General features: G+C 45.6%; 1 protein-coding gene across 40 annotated transcripts in view, besides 3 other annotated features; it reads left to right on the forward strand.

The window, feature by feature from the left end:
* The window catches only part of GRAMD1B (GRAM domain containing 1B), a 269,346-nt gene that overhangs the window by 192,660 nt on the left and 57,419 nt on the right, over positions 1-19,267 (forward strand). For 3 of the 40 annotated variants that reach the window (NM_001286564.3, NM_001387035.1, NM_001387031.1), the window contains exon 1: positions 9,181-9,446. The exons of 35 other annotated variants lie outside the window; for them this stretch is intronic. Coding sequence is in view for 2 of the 5 variants with exons in the window: in XM_047427328.1 (XP_047283284.1) it covers positions 8,261-8,358 (98 nt within the window). In the remaining 3 variants the exon portion in view is untranslated. Of the gene's footprint in view, positions 1-7,361; positions 8,359-9,180; positions 9,572-19,267 lie in introns of those variants that run through there. 2 more of the 40 variants (XM_047427328.1, XM_011542929.3) reach the window with 2 other exon arrangements.
* Positions 8,403-9,066: an enhancer, noted in NCBI's record as "H3K27ac-H3K4me1 hESC enhancer chr11:123430192-123430855 (GRCh37/hg19 assembly coordinates)". NCBI's record gives its function as "activates a minimal SCP1, AML or CMV promoter by ChIP-STARR-seq in naive H9 embryonic stem cells {active_cell/tissue: H9 hESC(naive)}" and the evidence as "EXISTENCE:reporter gene assay evidence [ECO:0000049][PMID:30033119]".
* Positions 9,067-9,729: an enhancer, noted in NCBI's record as "H3K27ac-H3K4me1 hESC enhancer chr11:123430856-123431518 (GRCh37/hg19 assembly coordinates)". NCBI's record gives its function as "activates a minimal SCP1, AML or CMV promoter by ChIP-STARR-seq in primed H9 embryonic stem cells {active_cell/tissue: H9 hESC(primed)}" and the evidence as "EXISTENCE:reporter gene assay evidence [ECO:0000049][PMID:30033119]".
* Positions 9,730-10,393: an enhancer, noted in NCBI's record as "H3K27ac-H3K4me1 hESC enhancer chr11:123431519-123432182 (GRCh37/hg19 assembly coordinates)". NCBI's record gives its function as "activates a minimal SCP1, AML or CMV promoter by ChIP-STARR-seq in primed H9 embryonic stem cells {active_cell/tissue: H9 hESC(primed)}" and the evidence as "EXISTENCE:reporter gene assay evidence [ECO:0000049][PMID:30033119]".

Below are 19,267 nucleotides of genomic sequence, written 5' to 3' on the forward strand. Positions count from 1 at the left end.
GGGAGAAGTTCAACTCTCACGCACCTGCTTTAGCCAATTCCATAAAAAATTCTAGAGCTGAGATTGCCCTGCAGGGTTATCCCAAATTGAGGCAAAGGGCAGGTTTTTGTATCCTCTCCTGGACTAGTCATTGGATGCGGTCTGTCCTCAGGGAGGGGCGTTTTTTTGGGCGAGGCTGCTTCCTTTAATCCAGGGCAGGGCCCAGAAAGGGACTCAGCTGTAACCCATCAGCAGCTATTACTCCAGGCAGCTGGGGAGATGAGTACTTCATTCTGGAAAGGAGTATCATGCCCAGGCGAAACCTCTACACTACATGGGACAGGGACTCTACGATGTTGTACTTTGCCTTACATCTGTTCATTCTCACAGTCATCCTTTTATAGAGCAGGTGTCATCTCCCCTTCACAGATGGGACTTCTACTGAGGCAGAGCCACATGCGGAAGGTCAGAGGGTAGCTAGGGGCAGACCATGTCCAAAACTTGGTGGCTTGCGGTGGTGGAAAGAACATAGGACTTTGTTGTATATGTGATTATTTAGTCTCTTTCCATGGTAAACCTGGGATTGTGGGCAAATGAAATTACTCTAATTTGCATAATTAAGGCAAATTAGATGCATGCCCATGTTTTAAAGGTCCCCAGCCCCATTTGTAGCCACCTGTTGGTAGTTTCTTCATTCATGGCCTTCCTTTTTGGGCAGTTATGGTTGCCTATAAAGAGGACAACTTGCCTTAGGATATTCCCCAGTAGGTGAGACTCTGAGTTCTGCCTGTGAGCAGTTCCACCCATCATCCTTCTCAATTTTTCGCTTTCATTTCCCTATGCTTCTCTGCAGCCCCTGGGCTCCATATATGTATGCTCCTACTACACTGACTTCCATAGAATCATGACTACAGATTATTTAATTTATCCTCGTTTTCCCCAATCCCATTTTTTTCCTCCCCAGGAATCAACTCCATTTCCTTGCCCAGTCCTTTCCACATAGGAGGCTTAATGTCCTGATCACACATGGGGCCCTGTGCGTTCTCCTCTGGAGAAGAACACTTTTAGAGTCAGCCATCCTGTGTAGATTCTTGCTTGTGGTCATTCAACACTCTGATGCTGAAAATCTAGAAAAAGGAGGGATTTTTCTTCCCTTAGTATATCCCAGAATATCACCAAATTTACCTACACACAGTTGTCTTCTCTTTCTTTCTTTTTTTTTTTTTTTTTTTGATTTTTTTAATTTTTTGAGATGGAATCTCACTCTGTCACCCAGGCTGGAGTGTAGTGGCAGAATCTCGGCTCACTGCAGCCTCCAATGCTCCTGCCTCAGCCTCCCCAGTAGCTGGGATTACAGGGGTGCATCACCACGCCCAGCTAATTTTTGTATTTTTAGTAGAGACGGGGTTTCACCATGCTGGCCAGGCTGTTCTCGAACTCCTGACCTCTCAAAATGCTGGGATTACAGGTGTGAGCCACTGCGCTCAGCCTGTCTTCTCTTTCAAAGGCAGCAATTTTCAAAACCAAAAAGATTACAGTAAATGTAATCGGGTTGAGTTAAAACCCAAAGATCAAAGGAAAGGTAACATGGGAGAATTTGACCATTCTAAATTTGTCTATTTCTCTAGTCCCTGATGAATGACATCTCGTTATACTGAATAAAGTTGCAGGTGTGCTCATTATCTCTTTGACTCAATTTTCTCTTCCGTGAAATTGGAATAATAAGATTAAAGGAGATATGACCCACTGTGCCCTTCATAAAGTACCTACAGCAAGGCCTGGCAATACCTTCTCAATGAGTGTTAGCTCTTTTTATGTGGGAAATTATTAAACAAGAGGAAGGATATCTTGGATTAAAGAAAATTTTAATATCTAGAAAATATAGATCACTAGTCTATGTTTTCTAAAGTTATTTAGATACTAAATTACTAGAGAATTAGGTTAAAATAGTATAGACCAATGATTCCTAAACATTGCCGCATATTTCAATCACTTGGAGATCCTTCAAAAGCTCTGATACCTGGCTCCCACCCCCAGACATTCTTGTTTAGTTGGTTATGTAAAAACTCTCAGATGATTCTGAAGTGCAGCAAAGTTTAGGGAGCACTAGTATAGATCATTTGGTGAATTTGTAGTTGAAGCTGGCTGAAAATGTAGATTTGGTTGTAGTGAACACTTAGAAAAGAAAAAGATAATACCCAGGAGCCAGTTATTCTATTTGGATAAGATTAAAAGAAAATTGGAAAAGAGAATTGGTGTGCATGGTGAAATGGGGTTTACCCCTAGTAAGCTCTGTTCCCAGTGAGCTAAGGGCTAAGTGTGTTTATTCTGCTGGGCTGCATTTTGTCCCAGGGAAGGCTTTCATATGTATCCATGTGTACATGATAAAATTTTACTTAAAGGGTGGCTACCTGATTGAATGGCAATGTTGGTTGCTAAAGGGTGAATGTTGTGTTGGAGCCATCTGAATCCTCAGCTTCCTCACCCTTCAATCTCCTGGCCATTTCTTGCTTTAAGTTTTAATTACGTAGACATCACTCACCTCATGAGAGAGATGCAGGATTAATGAGAGGTCTTGGGTTACAGCTGGGTCAGAGGCAATCAGTATATCCATTTGGACACCCCTGAACCAGCCTCCGTGGATTAGAGTCTGAGTTGGGGAACTCGGAGAGGACAGAGTGGACATCTGTGGAACATCAGTTCTCTTGCATTAATGGCTCATAATGCACAGACTATATCCTAAGCATTAATTCAGGAAAGAGTTATTTAATAGGGTCTCTAGAGTCCCTGATGGCCAGTGTATACCAACTCGTTTATAATTCAAGGACTGAGTTAGAAGATCTTTAATGACCCCTCCCATTAAAAAAACTTTGGTCAGATGTTGACCTCTTTGGCTAACAATCTAGCTTTCTTCCTCTTCCAAACTTCCTGACAGACTGTCTATATACCCTCTGTTTCCTTGACCCTCTTTCACTCTCAGGGCAGCCAGTTGTTTGGGGCAGCACTGCAGAATCTTGGAGACAAATCCTGGTTTCTCTGTTTACTCTGTATGTGATCTGGGAAAATTCTTCAGTCACTGAGATGCCTCAGTTTCCTCTTCCATAAAGTAGGGTCAGTGGATAAAAGGAAGGAATACATATTAAATGTATAAAATCCCTGCCTGGCTCATAGTATACTTTGAATGCTTTTAACCATTTTATTGGAGGAATAACTTGAGGAAGGGATGATGTCCTACTCATCTGAGTTTCTTTTTGCTCATCCATATAGTAGTGTATCAGTGAGGGTCCCATAAGACAGAAACCACACCAATAATTTGAACAGGGAAAATTTAATATTAAGAATCATTGGCTGGGTGCAGTGGCTCATGCATATAATTCCAGCACTTTGGGCCGCCAAGGTGGGAGGATCGCTTGAGCCCAGGAGTTTCAGAGCAGCCTGGGCAACATAGGGAGACCCCATCTTTACAAAAAAAAAAAAAAAAAAAAGAAAGAAAGAAACAAAATGCCGGACATGGTGGTGTGTGCCTGTAGCCCCAGCTATTCCGGAGGCTGAGGTGGGAGGATTGCTTGAGCCCAGAAGGTTGAGGTTGCAGTGAGCCGAGATTGTGCCACTGCACTCCAGCCAGGGCAACAGAGGGAGACCCTGTCTCAAGAAGGAAAGATAAAAGAATCATTAACAAGTAAAAACATGGAAAGGTCTCTGAAGAATGGAGGTATAACAGATGCCTCTTGTTATAACAGATGTAGGGAGCAGCTCCTAGGATTGAGCCACTCACTCACTGAAGGACAAACTTCTAAGAAGGCTCCCTGCACTTCCTCCAAACCCAAGGCTAAAATTCAGAACTTATTGGAGAGGGTGTGGCCATTGCCCAGTGTATGGCACAGAGGCTCTAGAGGTTCTGGGGACTGGGGCACATAAGCTGGAAACTGCCCATTAGGGTATCAGTGAAACTCATTGGGAGGCTGGTGACTTCTGCAGAAAAGCACCAGAACAAAAAAGGGCAGCCCCTTCTAGTGTCTCTCTAGCGCCCTCTACTGACAAGATATAACATTGTGCCAGCCGGCAAAGAAGAAACGTTGACAGGGCACAGCTCCAGCATCACAAGGCAGGGAAAAGAAGGGTGGATTTGCAGCTGAGGGGCAATACATGGATACGTAGCCTGAGTAGGAACAACGGAACTTACCTTGAAGGGTTGTTTTGAGGGTTAAATGCAATATTATACAAGCACCTTTTGCCTTGTAGATGTTTATTTATGGAAGTAGCATGGTATGGTGAAAAGATGGATTTTATTTTATTATAATTTTTTGAGACAGAGTCTCACTCTGTCACCGAGGCTGGGGTGCAATGGTGCGATCTTGGCTCACTGCAACCTCTGCCTCCTGGGTTCAAGCAACTCTCCTGCCTCAGCCTCCCAAGTAGCTGGGATTACAGATGCCTGCCACCACACCTGGCTAATTTTTTGTATCTTCAGTAGAGATGGGGTTTCACCATGTTGGCCAGGCTGGTCTGAACTCCTGATCTCAGGTGATGCACCTGCCTCAGCCTTCCAAAGTGCTGGGATTACAGATGTGAGCCACTGTGCCCAGTGGAAAAGATGGATTTTTAGAAATAACTGTAGGATCATGGGTACTTAAAGTACAGGCTCCTGATACTCAGTTTTCTCATCAGTTTGATAAAATACTTTTTTTTTTAAAACGGAGTTTTGCTCTTCTTACTCAGCTGGAGCACAATGGCACGATCTCGGCTCACCACAATCTCCATCTCCTGGGTTCCAGTGACTTTCCTGCCTCAGCCCCCTGAGTAGCTGGGATTATAGGCGCCCACCACCACGCCTGGCTAATTTTTGTATTTTTAGTAGAGACAGGGTTTCACCATGTTGCCGAGCCTGGTCTTGAACTCCTGACCTCAGGTGATCCACCTGCCTCGGCCTCCCAAAGTGCTGGGATTACAGGCATGAGCCACTGCGCCTGGCCTTAAATAAATTTTATAAAAGGATAAAAGGCATAAAAGCACCCCTGTGCCTGCAATGGTGAATTCTCAGTAACTTGTCGATCCCTGTTTCTCTTCTTCTTTGTATCCCACACACTCAGAAATCTCCTAAATGACTATGCTTCAGAAAAGCACTCGTGATTTGGATGATAGTTTTAAAACAATGAGATTCGCTTTTGCCTATCATTCTCCATGATTCAACAAATTCAGATTTATGTAAACTGTTTGGAGTGCTACTCTGTAAAAGTTTTTAAATTTTATTTTATTAGTATGCAGGTGGGATTCAGAGACGTAAGATCTTAGCCTTTATTTTCAACATCTCCCATGCATGTCAACAAAGATTATCAAACACAGGAAGTGAATAAAATACTATGTAGACACTGACCCTCTTTATATAAAATGTGATTGATCAGGTCTGGGTTGAATGGATTGGTTCAGTTGGATTTGCAGGTGTATCTTAACTTCTCTTTCTTAGCCCTGATTCATCTAGGGTGGTCTCTGGAAAGTGCTTTTGACACTGCACAGGACTCTCAGAAACCTCTTTTCCTTTAAAAAGTAGAAGATAGTGTCAGTTTTCTGTATCTCTGAAGGAAAGGTTTAATTCAGAGAAAGGTACCCACTTTTACCTCAATTTCCTAAATTCATTTACAGAAAAGCAGCTTGGGAATTTAGGCACCAAATAGCTGTGAAAGTGTGGAGATTGAGTCCGGAGGCGTAAGTTCCGTTTGTGGAAGTCCTGTTGGCTTTGTTAGGATTGCAGCATGTACCTGCTCTTGGATCAGCTGGTCACCCCAGAGTTTGTGCTGTCCTTTCAAGAAGGACAAGGGCAGAAAGTATGAGTGCCTCTATGGGAAATTATAAACACCGTTAGGACAAAAAGGCCCATGCCTTCCTAATGGCATGTCAGTAGCCCCTTCTTTTCACACGCAATGTAATCGTTCAGAGTAGGACTCGGGTAAGGCAGATGGGGTTTCAGATACAGGCTCTACTACTTAATAACCATGTACTATAGGCAAGTTATTAAACTTTCTACCTCTTCGTTTTGTCATCTGAGAAATGGGAATAGTAAGTAGTATCCATTTCATATACTGTTGATATAATTCAGTGAAATAATTCTTGTCAGGGGTTTAGCAAATTGCACTGCACATAAATAGTACTCTTTTGCTATCATCAGGATAGTTTTGGTTTTATTGTAGCTCAAGTGAAGCGCTTCTCATCATGAAAGCCTTGTATTCTGTAACAGTAGACACAGTCCAGATTCCCTGATTCGCTTGTTTTGTTACTTTTCTATTATTTAATGTGTCCATTTTGAGGGTAGCAGGCAAATAACATTTTGGTGACTGAAGAAATACCACGCACATACTTCGTGCATCTTAAGGAACTGAGATCTTTCTTGTATCCAAACTCAAGGCTTCTGAATATCTGTCTCACCACTAGAAAATATTTTTCACTGTGTTTTTCAACAGTAGCTATTGCTTTTGACCAATATTGATTATAGTAGCTGTAGTTTACTGGACAGATACATACTATGTGTCAGATGCAGTGAGAAGCAGGTTGCATGTATTTACATCATTTAATCCTCACATGTTCCATTAAGATTGAAAGATCGGAAACTTAGTGAAGCTAACTTTTCAAAGAGCACAGAAGAAGTAATTGATAGGACTAACATTTGAAGTTGTATTTGTCTGGTCCCTGACATACGGTTTTAACCCATTGTATTTAATACAAACCATGAAAATACTAACAATGTAAGCCCATATACAGCTGTACATTTTGTAGTGGAAGAAGTAAAGTCCCCTCAAAATTAGCACAACTTGTTCAAAGTTACATAGTAAGTGAGTGGGGAAGTTAGGACTAGGACTCTGGCCACTTGATTCCACCAACCCCTGTGTCTATGCCTTAATGGAGGAAAGGACATTCAGTGCAACTTTTTTTTTTTTTTTTTTTTTTTTAATGCAGAGTCTTGCTCTGTCGCCCAGGCTGGAGTGCAGTGGTGCGATCATGGCTCACAGCAACCTCTGCCTCCTAGGTTCAAGAGATTCTCCTGCCTCAGCCTCCCGAGTAGCTGGGATTACAATTGTGTGCCACTATGCCTGGCTAATTTTTGTATTTTTAGTAGAGATGGGGTTTCACCACGTTGGCCAGGCTGGTCTAAAACTCCTGAGCTCAAGTGATTCACCCGCCTCTCCCTCCCAAACTGCTGAGATTACAGGCATGAGCCACCATGCCCAGCCCAAAGATATTTACTGAATATGTGTGTACCCAGTACTCCTACATGCTGGAGGGACATGAAAGAAAAAATAGCCTACGATCTTCTCAGGGATGTAAAACCAACAGAGGACAACAGAACCTGCAATTAAGTTCTAAATGTATACTGTAAGGGCAGGGGCAGGAGAGGTACCCAACCGTTCTCGGGTGCTTTCACATGCTTTTTTGACTTCATCATCTTTTCAACAGTACAAAGGAGGAAATATGTAGTATTAGCATTTTCAGATGAAGAAACTGAGTTTGAGATAAGAGTACGTGGGTGACCAACAAGCAATGCAACTCAGTTTTGGTTTCAGATCTGACTCTAGTCCAAGATCTTTCCGTGGATTAACAGAGAAGAGCCAGAAAGGCATTTCAGAAGAAGTCGGACTTGAGCCAGACAAGGAGGGAGGCTGAAATTGGGGCATTGCCAATATACCTTTCTTTGGAGCTGGGATTCCTCTAGGTAACGGAGGCAGGGCCAGACAGCCCAGAACTATCTGCTTCCCGGATACTGTGCGGCTGCTGTTCTATCAACGGGCTGCAGACAGAAGCAATCTTGGAAAGACTTTTCATGATGAGCCTGCAGGGGCTGGCCCTCCCAGAATGAGACATTTTGCCAACAGATGCCCAAGAAATATTAGCTCTCAGCATGAGTTCGAGCAGGATGCAGGTGACATCAATGGATTGTAATTATTATTCACCTTCAGCATGTTTTCCTATGCAGCTGCAGTGGACAGACAAAACTGTCTTTTTGGAAGATTCAAAGCATGAGAATGCATAAGCCAAACATTTGCTGTTCAGGGTGGTCCCGGAATAGCAACGTGGGCATCGCCTGGGGTTTGTTAGAAAGGCTGACTTTTGGGTGGTCCCCTAGACCTGCTCTATCAGAATCTGTGGGTGAAGAAGATTCTTAGGGGATTAAAGTTTCCCAGGCATTGAGCTAACCATCATCATTGTTAGTGTTGTCGGTTTTGTGCTACATCCCTCAAGAGATGACAATGGTTCTCAAATAGTTGGGGTGTGAGGCAATTAGTTAATCGCCATGGGTCTAGAGGCAGGTGATCTGGATTCCCAGCTCTGCCTCTTTCTTGCATGGGACCTTCACTTTTCCAGGACTCAGTTTCCAGATCCACTAAACAGGTCAGTATTTAGGTGATTGTGGTGGGAATGAAATGATTGAATGTAGGCAAAATGCTTTGTAAGTCATGAATGACTTTCAAAATATTATTAATATCGTTGCTGAATAGAATACCTCGCACTGCCAGAACTTTCCTCTGGGGGCTGTCTGAGTACTAATACTGCATTTCGGTGAATGGACAGAGAAAAAAAAAACACTTCTAAGAGGTGCAGCTTAGAATTAGAAGACCCAGACGACTCTGCTTTGCCACGAATGTAAGTGCTTTCCCTGAGTGTTACTCTTGCTGTCTGTGAGAGCCTGACCTGCGGGAGAAGCGAGCATCCTGGAAGTCTGGGAGCAGCTACACTGAAGAGGCCCTCGGCCATCTTTTCTTGCGGATTATGGTCTCAGTGCTGGCCTCCTCTCTTCCTCTACTCCCAGGCCTCGGGCCGTGAGAGAGCCGCCATCCTTTGAAGGATGCACGACTCTCTTTAGAGCCAGGCACCTGTGTTTTTATTTAGTGTCACCTCCTTGATACAGGTCGACCTAGTGGGCAGCACCTGGGAAATAATTGGTGGCAGCGAAGGGAGCAGAGTCTCCGGGGAACATGGTCTTGTATTTTGTCGGATTGAGGGTGAAGAGGAAATAACCCCCCCCCCCGCAGCCCCAGCGGCTCTGTCCTCCACGCTGGCATGAATAATTGAGCGCCGGCAAGCTGACTGCACCAAAGAGTTGCATTATGTAAACCGGCAGGCGACGTGTGTGCGTGTGTGCGCGTGTGCGTGTCTGCGCGCAAGAGGGGTGCGTGTCTGAGTGTGTCTGTGCGCCTGTGCGCGTGCGTGCCTGAGCTCAGAACAGCTGTCTGTGAGGGAGTCAGAGGGAGAGAGAGAAAGGGAGCCAGGCAGAGAGAGAGAGGGACTTCTGTAAGGCGGCACGACCACACCAAATAACAGCAGCAGAGGGAGGTGGGGGAGAGGGAAATAAAGGGGAGTCATGCTTAAAATGCTACAGCGGTGTGAAACAGCAGAGCAAAGAAGCGCCCCCAGCTTCTGAGAGCCCTGGCCCGAGTCCCCTCCCCCGTTAGAAACAGGGCTTTGGGATGGTCATGGAGGTGAGTGCCCTCCAGCCTCCTCAGGGCCCCCGCTCCCCGCCCCCGCCCCCCACTGCCCAATGCATGAATGAATGAGTTCCTCTCTGCACTGCACTCTGCTACTGTTCCTACCTAATGGCTTCCAGGTTAGTGCTAACTCGTGCTGACGCCTGGTGCGTGTGTGTGTGTGTGTGTGTGTGTGTGTGTGTGTGTGTGTGTGTGTGTGTGTATCTTTGTTTCCTCGTGGGATTTTTTGGAAGCGGTGGCTCTGTCCTGGGGTCAGAATGGGGCCCTGGGGGCTGTGGTGAAGACCTGTCTTTCTGGTTGTGTGCTTTTCTCATCTGACGCAGGCTGCTCAGAGCTGCCAAGAACACAAACCTTTCAAGGCAGAGTAAATCCGGAGTCCATGTTGTTTGCTTCTGTTTTCTGTTCTGGGGATCCGAAAGCAGCCAGTGTGACATCATGCTGCAGAGATGCCACCTTCTTTTCCCTCCCTAGCCTTTTCTTTTCTCCTCTATAGTAGCACTGCTTGAGCTGAGCTCTGGATCACGGAGGGGTGGCCCTGGGGTGGGCTGGAGAGACAGGCTGGGTTGAGGGTGATGATGGTCTCCTTGTCCAGCAAGACTTAATTCAGTGCCCTCTAACTTGGAGAAAGGAGGGCAGAGGAATGAATTAGTGGCACAATGCATCATGGAGAACTGGCTGAGAGCTTCTGGGGGAGGTGTGGACAGGCCATGTGCTCCTGTTCTCCACCTGCTGGCTTCCCTCCGCAGTGCCTCCGGCGGGGGTAGGAGCTGGCCAGAGCTGTGGTCAGGAAGATATGGACAGACACTGCTTATCCCACAGGGAGAGGGCCATGGGACAGATGGATCTGGCCAGCAGAAGGAGAGGATGAAAGGGGAAGTTGATAGCTCTCATCTCAGAGAAATAAAAGGATTTGTTTATTCTTTGGCTTAGCCAGCATTTGGCGCAGAGATTTGCCATGTATTTTGAGAAAATAGCTACCCAGTGGCTGGGCCTTACTCCCCCACACCTCCTTGCATTGTTAGTTATTTGCTTGATTTAGGAAGTAGAGGGCTGGGGGAGGACTTGGAGCTTGCTCTGTCCCCGGGGCCTCAGCCAAGAGCTCAGGCAGGGCTAGAGAAAGCCATCTTTGCCTCTTCTCTGGTACTTGCTAGCACACTGTGCTCCGGGGAGACCCCCTCGCTCCTCTACCTCCTGCCTCTCCTCCCTCTGCAGCTGACCTTGAATGGTGGTCATATTTCTAGCCTTTGCCTTGGATAGCACTCGGCAGGTTAGAGAAGTTTGGAACCAAGATGAAAAAAGCTGGCCTTGGAAGAAGGGTAAGGGAAAGGGATGATTTTGGGAGCCACCCGGAGCAGGAGATTGATAATGTCAAGGCCATGATTAAAAAGTAGTGCCCCGTGAGGATTGGGGGTGGGTAGGGAGTGGAGAATCAGCTAGTCCGGTTACCTCTGTAGGCATTTAAGCAACTGCAAAACAATCACTTGTGGAAAGAATGAAGGAATAAAAGCTGTCATCACCTAGAAGAAAAACTCCTGGCTGGGTGTGCTGGCTCATGCCTGTAATCCCAGCACTTCGGGATCTGAGGTGGGAGGATCGCTTGAGCCTAGGAGTTCAAGACCAGCCTGGGCAACATCGCGAGACCCTGCCTCTATTTAATAATAATTTTTTTAAAAGCCTAAGACTAAACACCTCCCACACCCCCTCCCTGCTTCTCTCTTTTCTGGCCCTACAAATTTCTTCTGCTGACAGGAGCAAGCCTGCAGCCCTTTCTCCCAATGGTTGGGACGCAGGCACCCTCCCCTTGACCTTTTCAAGGTCTTTTCTGTTTAGACCAGAGGCCAGCAGACTGTTTTGGTACAGGGCCAGACAGTCAATACTGGAGGCCTTGTGGGCCGGGCTGTCTCAGCTACTCAATTCTGCTTTGCACAGTAGAAGCAGTCGTGGACAATTTATGAACGAACGAGCATGGCTGTGTTCCCAATAAAACTTTATTTATGGACTCTGAAATGTGGATTTCCTATGATTTTCACATGTCACAAAATATTCTCCAGATGTTTTTCAGCCACTTAAAAATGCAAACACTATTCTTGCGTCCAGATAACAGACTCTTAAGGTCTGTAGTTTTGCATCTGGCCTAGAGATCCTCATATAAACACTCAGAATTTTAGTGTAACCTGAGTTGGGGTAAAATTGTTCATCCTTCTGCCGAAACTTGGATTTGTCTCATTGGGGGAAGTGGTGGGGGTGTTTGCTTCTTGGAGGGATATGCACCCCCACTTAGCCTACAGGAGAAGGTTGAAGCACTATACCCAGAGACTCCTAAAGGAACAGTGAGCAATTTCTTGATTCTTTTGATTCAGAAAATGACTGAAAATATATGTTTGCATTGTGATTCCCAAAGCAGGTGAAGTGATGATTCTGCTCTATTCTGAGCGGCTCAGGCCACTTCTCTGCAGTATTACAACTCTGTCTGGGCTTCACAGTTAAGAAAGTTGAGATCACCCGGACTCCGTTCAGAGGAGAAGGAGCCCAGTCGCTGGCTGAGGGAGCCATCGCCATGTTAATGTGAGAGTCCAGCAGGTGCCGAGAAGGCATGAGAGCCACGTGAAAATGTCACGTGGAGGAGAAATTAGATTTGTTCTATGGCTCACAAGGGAGTAGGATAGGACCTCTGGTAGGAAGCCACAGGAAACAGTTTGAGCTTAAAATAAAAACTATCAGAGCTGTCCCAAGGTGCAATGAGTTACACATCAATTAGTGACTGGCCCTTGAGAGGTAAAGATTGGGTGGGGATGTTGTAGGAGAAGTGATTTTTAACTTCAGAGAATAGGTTTAAGGAAGTAGAATTGTTTCACTCAAAGAAAGGAGGATAGGAACAGAGGGAGGGATTATAACTGATGAACTGACCTGCAGTCCAGGATAGCTGGAATAAAAGAAAATGGGATTAAGTGCAATATAACAGAGGGTTTTTTCTTTTTTTTTTTTTTCTTTTTTTTGAGGCAAGGCCTCACTCTGTCACCCATGCTGGAGTGCAGTGGCATGATGTCGGCTCACTGCAACCTCTGTCTCCAGGGCTCAAGCAATCCTCCCACCTCAGCCTCCCAAGTAGCTGGGATTACACAGTGTGAACCACCACACCTGGCTAATTTTAAGAACATTTTTTAATTTTCTTAAAAGTATAGTAGAGACCAACTCTTACTATATTGCCCAGGCTGGGCTTTTTCTTTTTAAAATCATAAATAACTTCCTGATGATAGCAGGAGACAATGAGAAGGGTGGCAAGGGAAAGCCCTGGGATTTCGTACCCTGAATGTATTTTAAATTAGACTAAAGCCTCTCTTGGTTGACGGGCATCTGATTGAAGCCAGCAGCGGGACCGACCTCTTACAGTTTTCTCTATTCTAAAATTTCTGACTTTAACATGTGGTCATTCTTCGGTATGCTTCGATTTGAGTTATAGCAGGAAAATAAATCAGAACCAGGTTTGAATCCCAGCGGTCAGGCAGCCATCCTGGTAGGCCAGTGAGGTCAGGGGAGGAGCGATATGAGGGGCAGGACATGTGGCGTGTCACAACTTCTCCCCCACCTGCACAGCCTTAGTCTGACTGCCTCTTGAGGAACATTGACCTGACAGTACCATAGCAACCTCTGGCACTGAGGTGATGTGTCCCTGGCCAGAGAAAAGGCTGGTGATGCTGAGTTAACTGTGGGCCCAGACTGCCTGGATTTTGTTTCTGGATGCTTTGCCTAATTTAGATCTGAATCCTTCTGTCTCAGAGATGCTACTGCTCTCAGTACTTCATAGTGTATTCTTTATATGTTCTTTGTCATCCTCCTCCATGTCCTCATGGGGGTTAGACAGCATCCACTCTAGTTCTTGCATAATAAAAGCGGAAGCTCAGAGAGGAGTAGTTTGTCCCCAGATCAGACATGAGGAAGGCCTGAGTCAGGAAGGCCACCTAACTCCTGGGGGCTATTCCTCAGTTTCCTGACCTGTCTCCCTTGACGAGCGGTGATGGGAGATACTGTAAGGTGTTAGTTCATTACATGTCTGTCTCTCCCATCAGACTGTGAGTTTCTTAGAGTCAGGGACAGTATCCCCAATGCCTAAACCTTTACCTGGCATGGGCATAGAACATGGTCCTCACCAACTGTTTGATGGGTGGATGGATGGATCCTGCAGGAATTCCTTTTGGTTTTAGTAGCAGCATTTCTCTTGCTGAGGATGGGGGAGGGGTCCTTGATGAGCAAACACAGGAGAAGCTGGAAGTTCTATTCAGTTGAACTCCTTGCCTTGTTCCAGTGGTCTTTGCCTCCCAGTGGATTGGAAATCTCTTTTGAGGAAGGGGCTTCCTGGGAGAGTTTAGCGCCTTTCTGCTTTCACAAGGTTCTATTCCCTTGAACATTTAGGCTTCTGAAATACTTTGGGTGGGATTGTACTTAAGAGTTGACTGAGATTGTTAGAGGCAAGTTTATTATATACTTTTATTAATGTAATTTCATATTTTATTTTATTTTGAGAAAGGATCTCACTCTGTTGACTAGGCTGAAGTGTAGTGGTGTGACCATAGCTTACTGCAACCTCGAATTCCTGGTCTCAGGTGATCTTCCTGCCCCAACCCCTGAACAGCTGGGACTACAGGCATCTGCCAGCACGCCTGGCTAATTCTTTTTTTTTTTTTTTTTTTAGGGATGAGGTCTTGCTATGTTGCCCAGCCTGGCCTCAAAGTCCTGGCCTCAAGCAATCTTCCCACCTCGGCCTCCCGAAGTGCTGGGATTACAGGCATGAGCCACTGCAACTGGCCATAGAGGCAATTTTAAAAGTATTAAGTTCTTACTGTGTGCCCAATATCACATTTAATATCATGTGGATACAAACAACCATGACACTGTTGCTGTCCTATTGGGCCCTCAGGATGAGTATGTAATACAAAGTTAGAGGTGCTCCAAAGATTCTTGCTTAATGACATTGAATCAGCAAGGTTAGGTTAATTTCTAAAGACTATTAAAATCAAAGAGGTTTGGACAGATAATGATCGCTGAGACTCATGGAGGAATGAGGACTGTGGCACGTAAGAGTGCCATTAACATGTAAGCAGCTGGCCAGTGGGAGCTCTGTCAGTGGAGATCTGAAGCAGAGGCCTGATGGCTGTTGTCAGGGCCATTGCAGAGGGAGCCCTGCACCCAGTGGGAGGATGGATTACATGACCACTATGCGCTCCTTCCAAACTACAGACTATTGTAGATCAGCTCAGCCAACACCCAGCCTGTGAACCCAGCAGGACTGTCCCCTAAATGTTAGGCGTTTGTTCTGTTGTGAACAATCTCAGGAAAAGGAAATTATACAACACCAGTAAGTTCTTATGTTTGATTTTAGTATCTTCTGCTTTATCTTAAGTCTTTATTGTCCCAGCCCTGTGGATGTAGGAACTAGCTGAATATATGCCTAGCCACAATCTGTACTCTCATCCCGTGTCTTTGCCATGTGGAAAGGACTGAATTTAGGAACAGGATTCAGTTTCTTAACTGGGAATTCACATTCCACTGCTAATCCTGTTTCACTCCATGAGCAATTATAGGAAGCTCTTTACTTTTGGGATGCATGGTCTAATTAGGTTTATTCTTTAAAGGATTCTCACTCCAGGAAAATAGGTTGTGATCGTGCAACAGACTAAAAACACAGGTGCACAGAAAGAAAAAGTGATTTTCTCAAGGGCACCAATCAGCTCAGGATTTTAAAATCAGGTACCCTGATGTCTAGACAGAGTGATAAGGCTAGCAGAGAGTCTGGAAGTGATGTCATATTTTAGTTTTCATGGACCCAAGAGCTAGAAAAAGGACTTAAAGGCTGGCCTTTTTAAAAAGGCAGATTTGGGGCCAGCTTTAGAAAGACATGTCTATCAGAGTGGCTGGACGATGGAATGAATGGCTTTAAGAAGATCCCACTTTTTGGCCGAGCGCGGTGGCTCACGCCTGTAATCCCAGCACTTTGGGAGGCCGAGGCGGGCAGATCACGAGGTCAGGAGATCGAGACCATCCTGGCTAACATGGTGAAACCCCGTCTCTACTAAAAATACAAAAAATTAGCCACGCGTGGTGGCGGGCGCCTGTAGTCCCAGCTATTCGGGAGGCTGAGGCAGGAGAATGGTGTGAACTCAGGAAGCGGAGCTTGCAGTGAGCCGAGATCGTGCCACTGCACTCTAGCCTGGGAGACAGAGCGAGACTCCATCTCAAAAGCAAAAAAAAAAAAGGAAAGAAGATCCCACTTTTTAAAATTCATGGACTATATATCTGCAACCCCAGTATGTGCCAGTCATTTTGCTGGAGGTACTGGGGAAGCACACATAGACGTGGCCCCAGCCCCCATGGAGTGCTCAGCCTGGTGGTAAGCAAGGAAAAAACAACAACAAGAAAACAAGACAATTTCCGCTCCTATAAGGGCAGTGAAAAGAAACAGGGCCACGTGGTAATGATTGCCTGGGGTTAGGAAGGCCACTTTATATGGAGTGGCCCTTCAAGAAAGTCTGCTCTGAGGAGGTGACATTTGAGCTTTGATCTGAAGGCTGAAAAGGAACCAGCATTCAAAATGTTAGAGTAAGAGTTCCAGGCGGTGGGACCAACAAGTGCCAATATCCTAGGTGAACTGGGTTTGTTCAAGAAAGAGAAAGGTCCAGGGAGGCTAGAATAAAATGAGGGAGGAAATGGTGCAAGAGAAGTTGAGGAAATAGTTGGATTCTATAAGAAGTTGGATAGCTGGTCATTAAATCCTTCTCTTAGGGGATATGAACCTTTTCCCCAGCAGCTTCGGAGGAGGAAGCAGATGGATTTACTGCAGATGAGCCCTTTGGGTAAAGTGATTTATGTCTGATTTCTGACACTGGTTCTGTAGCATTATCAGTGTTTTCAAAGATGGTTATAATTTGTTCCTCTTTGAAATATCCTTTGAGATAACAGGAACTCTTGCTTTTTTCTCCTTGGCTCTGGCAGGACCCAAACAAACTTATTTTGTTTTTGTAGGAAGGGGGAAAAGTGGGTCAGGCTGTTTTGTCATTTCGGGCATGGAGTCCTGGTTCTATTGCAGGGCCTTGTCTCCATGGAAATGAAAAATAGTGTTTGTCATGCCTGTTCCTGGATTGAATTCCAAACTCTGGACTGAACAGAAGCTGCAGGAAAGCCAGGCAGCAGGGGGGAGTGGGATGGATGGAGACTCCAGCCATGGTGATGAAGGACCTCTTCTCCTTGCCTGAGCAGGAAAGGCAAACAACCTTTGCCCAGGTCCAGCTCTTCCTATCACCTCTCTGGACTGAGAACACCACTGGAAGGGTAACTGAAGTGCTACTTTTCTCTACTTCGCCAAAAACTTTCCGTGAACTTTGCCCTTATGTTAATTAGTCAATTAATAAATTCATCAACAACCAAAGTCAGTGCTCAGACTTTCCCTTGTACCAAGTAATTCCTTCCAGGCTTGAGGAGATCCCTAATGAGACTATTTCTAGGTATTAAATTAGTCAGCTGGCTGCAAATGTTTTGGATGGGCTGTCCCATCTTTAAATTTCTTTGTAAAAATTTTTTAAAGTTTTGGGTTTTTTTTTTAACTGAAATATTTATACAAGACAGGGAAGGAGGAATCAGTAAGTGGGGCTTGTTGCCCATAGGAAGTGCCCTGAATTATCTACACAGTATTTACAGAGATAGGGCATGTGAGGGGCGGAGTGCAGAAGGAGGTAGGGGCATGGGCCGTGTGGACGCTGAGTGAATGTTCGGATGGCCCACAGTAGCTGGTTCATGAGCCTGGAGAATTGTCAGGCTTCCATTTGTAAGGTGTCTCTACCAGTGGTCTGAACCCGGCAACAGTCCAGTTCCACCTTTGGTCCAAATTTTGGGCAGATCCTGTCCCTGAACACCTTGTACACTTCACCCAAGATCCCCATTTGGAAAGGCCTCCAGGAATCTCCACAATTTTCCCAAACGGAGGAGAGGGGACAAGAGGTTCATTTCTGTCAAGATGTTGCCCTTGCAGCGGGTAGGGAAGGCCCATTCTGTGTCAGATCTGCAGATGGCATTTGTAGGAACTGTGACAGGGAAGAAAGGCGTTAGCTTGGGAGCCCTTTCCCTTTCTGTCCCTTGCTGAAATGCAACCTCCTGCTAAATCTAGGCCGAAGTGTGGCACGCCTGGACCAGGCTGAGACTCTGCTTTAGTGTAAGTTTGGGAAGAGAACTTCTATGCTGTAGGGAAAAAAAAGCAACTCTTCTCAAAGCTGTTCTGGTCCCTTCTTTCAAACAGGTAATCACAGCTTGATTTTCTCCCCTAGAAAGGGAACTGGACCCGGTGGCAGTTATCACCAGGCTTAGATGCCAGCGATAGGCACACAGAGAGCAGGTTCCATGCGTGGTCACAGGGAGCTTCTCTTAGAACAGTGCAGGTCTTATCCTTTTGAACCCCAGTCCCATCCAGCATCCTGAAAAGTGTGTGTGTGGGGAAGGGGAGGCACTGAGATTGGCACTGTTGGGCATCTGAGTCTGAGCTGTGAAGGGGAAGAACCATCCTGCTGTCTGTTAACTCCTTGGTGGACAGTCGTGTCATCTCTCTGGACCTTTTTATATTCATAGCAGTGAGAGGGTTGGACCTGAAAGGCCCTTTCAGCTCTTTCTCTGAACCAGTCAAATCTTCTGGGAACTTGGGACTGTGGGTTTATTTTCATGAGTAAAAGGAGCTGAGACCAGGAACTTCAGGGGGTTATGACAAGGAGTGAAGCAAGCCTTACCAGGTCACTACTAGTGACTTGGTAGTTTGCTATCTAAGGAGGAGGATCCAAGGGGAATTGGGGGCCCTGCTGGTATTTGTGATTTGGGCTTTTCACTCCCCTCTACAAGGTTCTGGTTGGGTCTGCCCTTCCCACCTGCCGTGACATGGGCACAGAATGTAGACTCTAGCAAGTGACTAGTGATAGTACAGAAAGAATAACCATCTTCATGGAGTCCTCGTAGACTCTGAATTTGGAACTGGTTTAGTGGGGCAGACCTGCAAATGGAGGCATTTGCAGGCAGCATGTAAATTTCATGCAAATGTTATACAAATACACCTGTGGCTCTCCTCTCTCAGCCACTTGAGCGTGTGCTATGGGAAAATTCGAAGGGGAGTTGGCTAATTTGTATGGATATTTGCAGTGGCATTATAAAGAACTGAGAAAGATTATTAATGAAACTTTGGAATCAGCATGAGGATAGGACGTGTGTAACTGGATAACAGGGTAGTCTTCTCTTAGGAATTAGGGACTAGTCATCAGCGTTTACCCCATGCTACAAATGGCAAGGACAGAGGAGGTGCTTGTGATATGGCTGTGGGCCTTCGCGCCAATGGTAATTGTTAGGCTCCTACATCAAAAGATGATGTCCCATCGGGTTCTGCCTACACCTGATCGTCTCCATGTCAGATTCTTCCACATTAGCAATTCCTATGACAAGCTCAAATGATTTTACTATTCCAGCAGGTCCACCTACCTGGTGGACACTGCACAGCTGTTATACCCGGAGTTGTAAACAGGTCTCTGTCACTTTTGGCAGATATGTCACTCACTCCTTGATACTTAAGAGATAGTTTCTTGGGAGCGTAGTGGTTCTCAAACTTCAGAGTGCTTCAGAATCAGCCGTGATACTTATTTTGAAATGCAGATTCCTGAGGCCATCCACTGGAAATTTTCATTTATTGGTGGGGGTGGTATCAGGTTAAGGCTGGGATTCTGCACGTTAAGGAAGCATCCTTTGTGTTCCTGGTTCCTACTGTGGGAAGTGAGACTTGGGAGCATCAACACCTC

Source organism: Homo sapiens, chromosome 11 (genome assembly GCF_000001405.40).
Source record: "Homo sapiens chromosome 11, GRCh38.p14 Primary Assembly".
Taxonomy (NCBI): domain Eukaryota; kingdom Metazoa; phylum Chordata; class Mammalia; order Primates; family Hominidae; genus Homo; species Homo sapiens.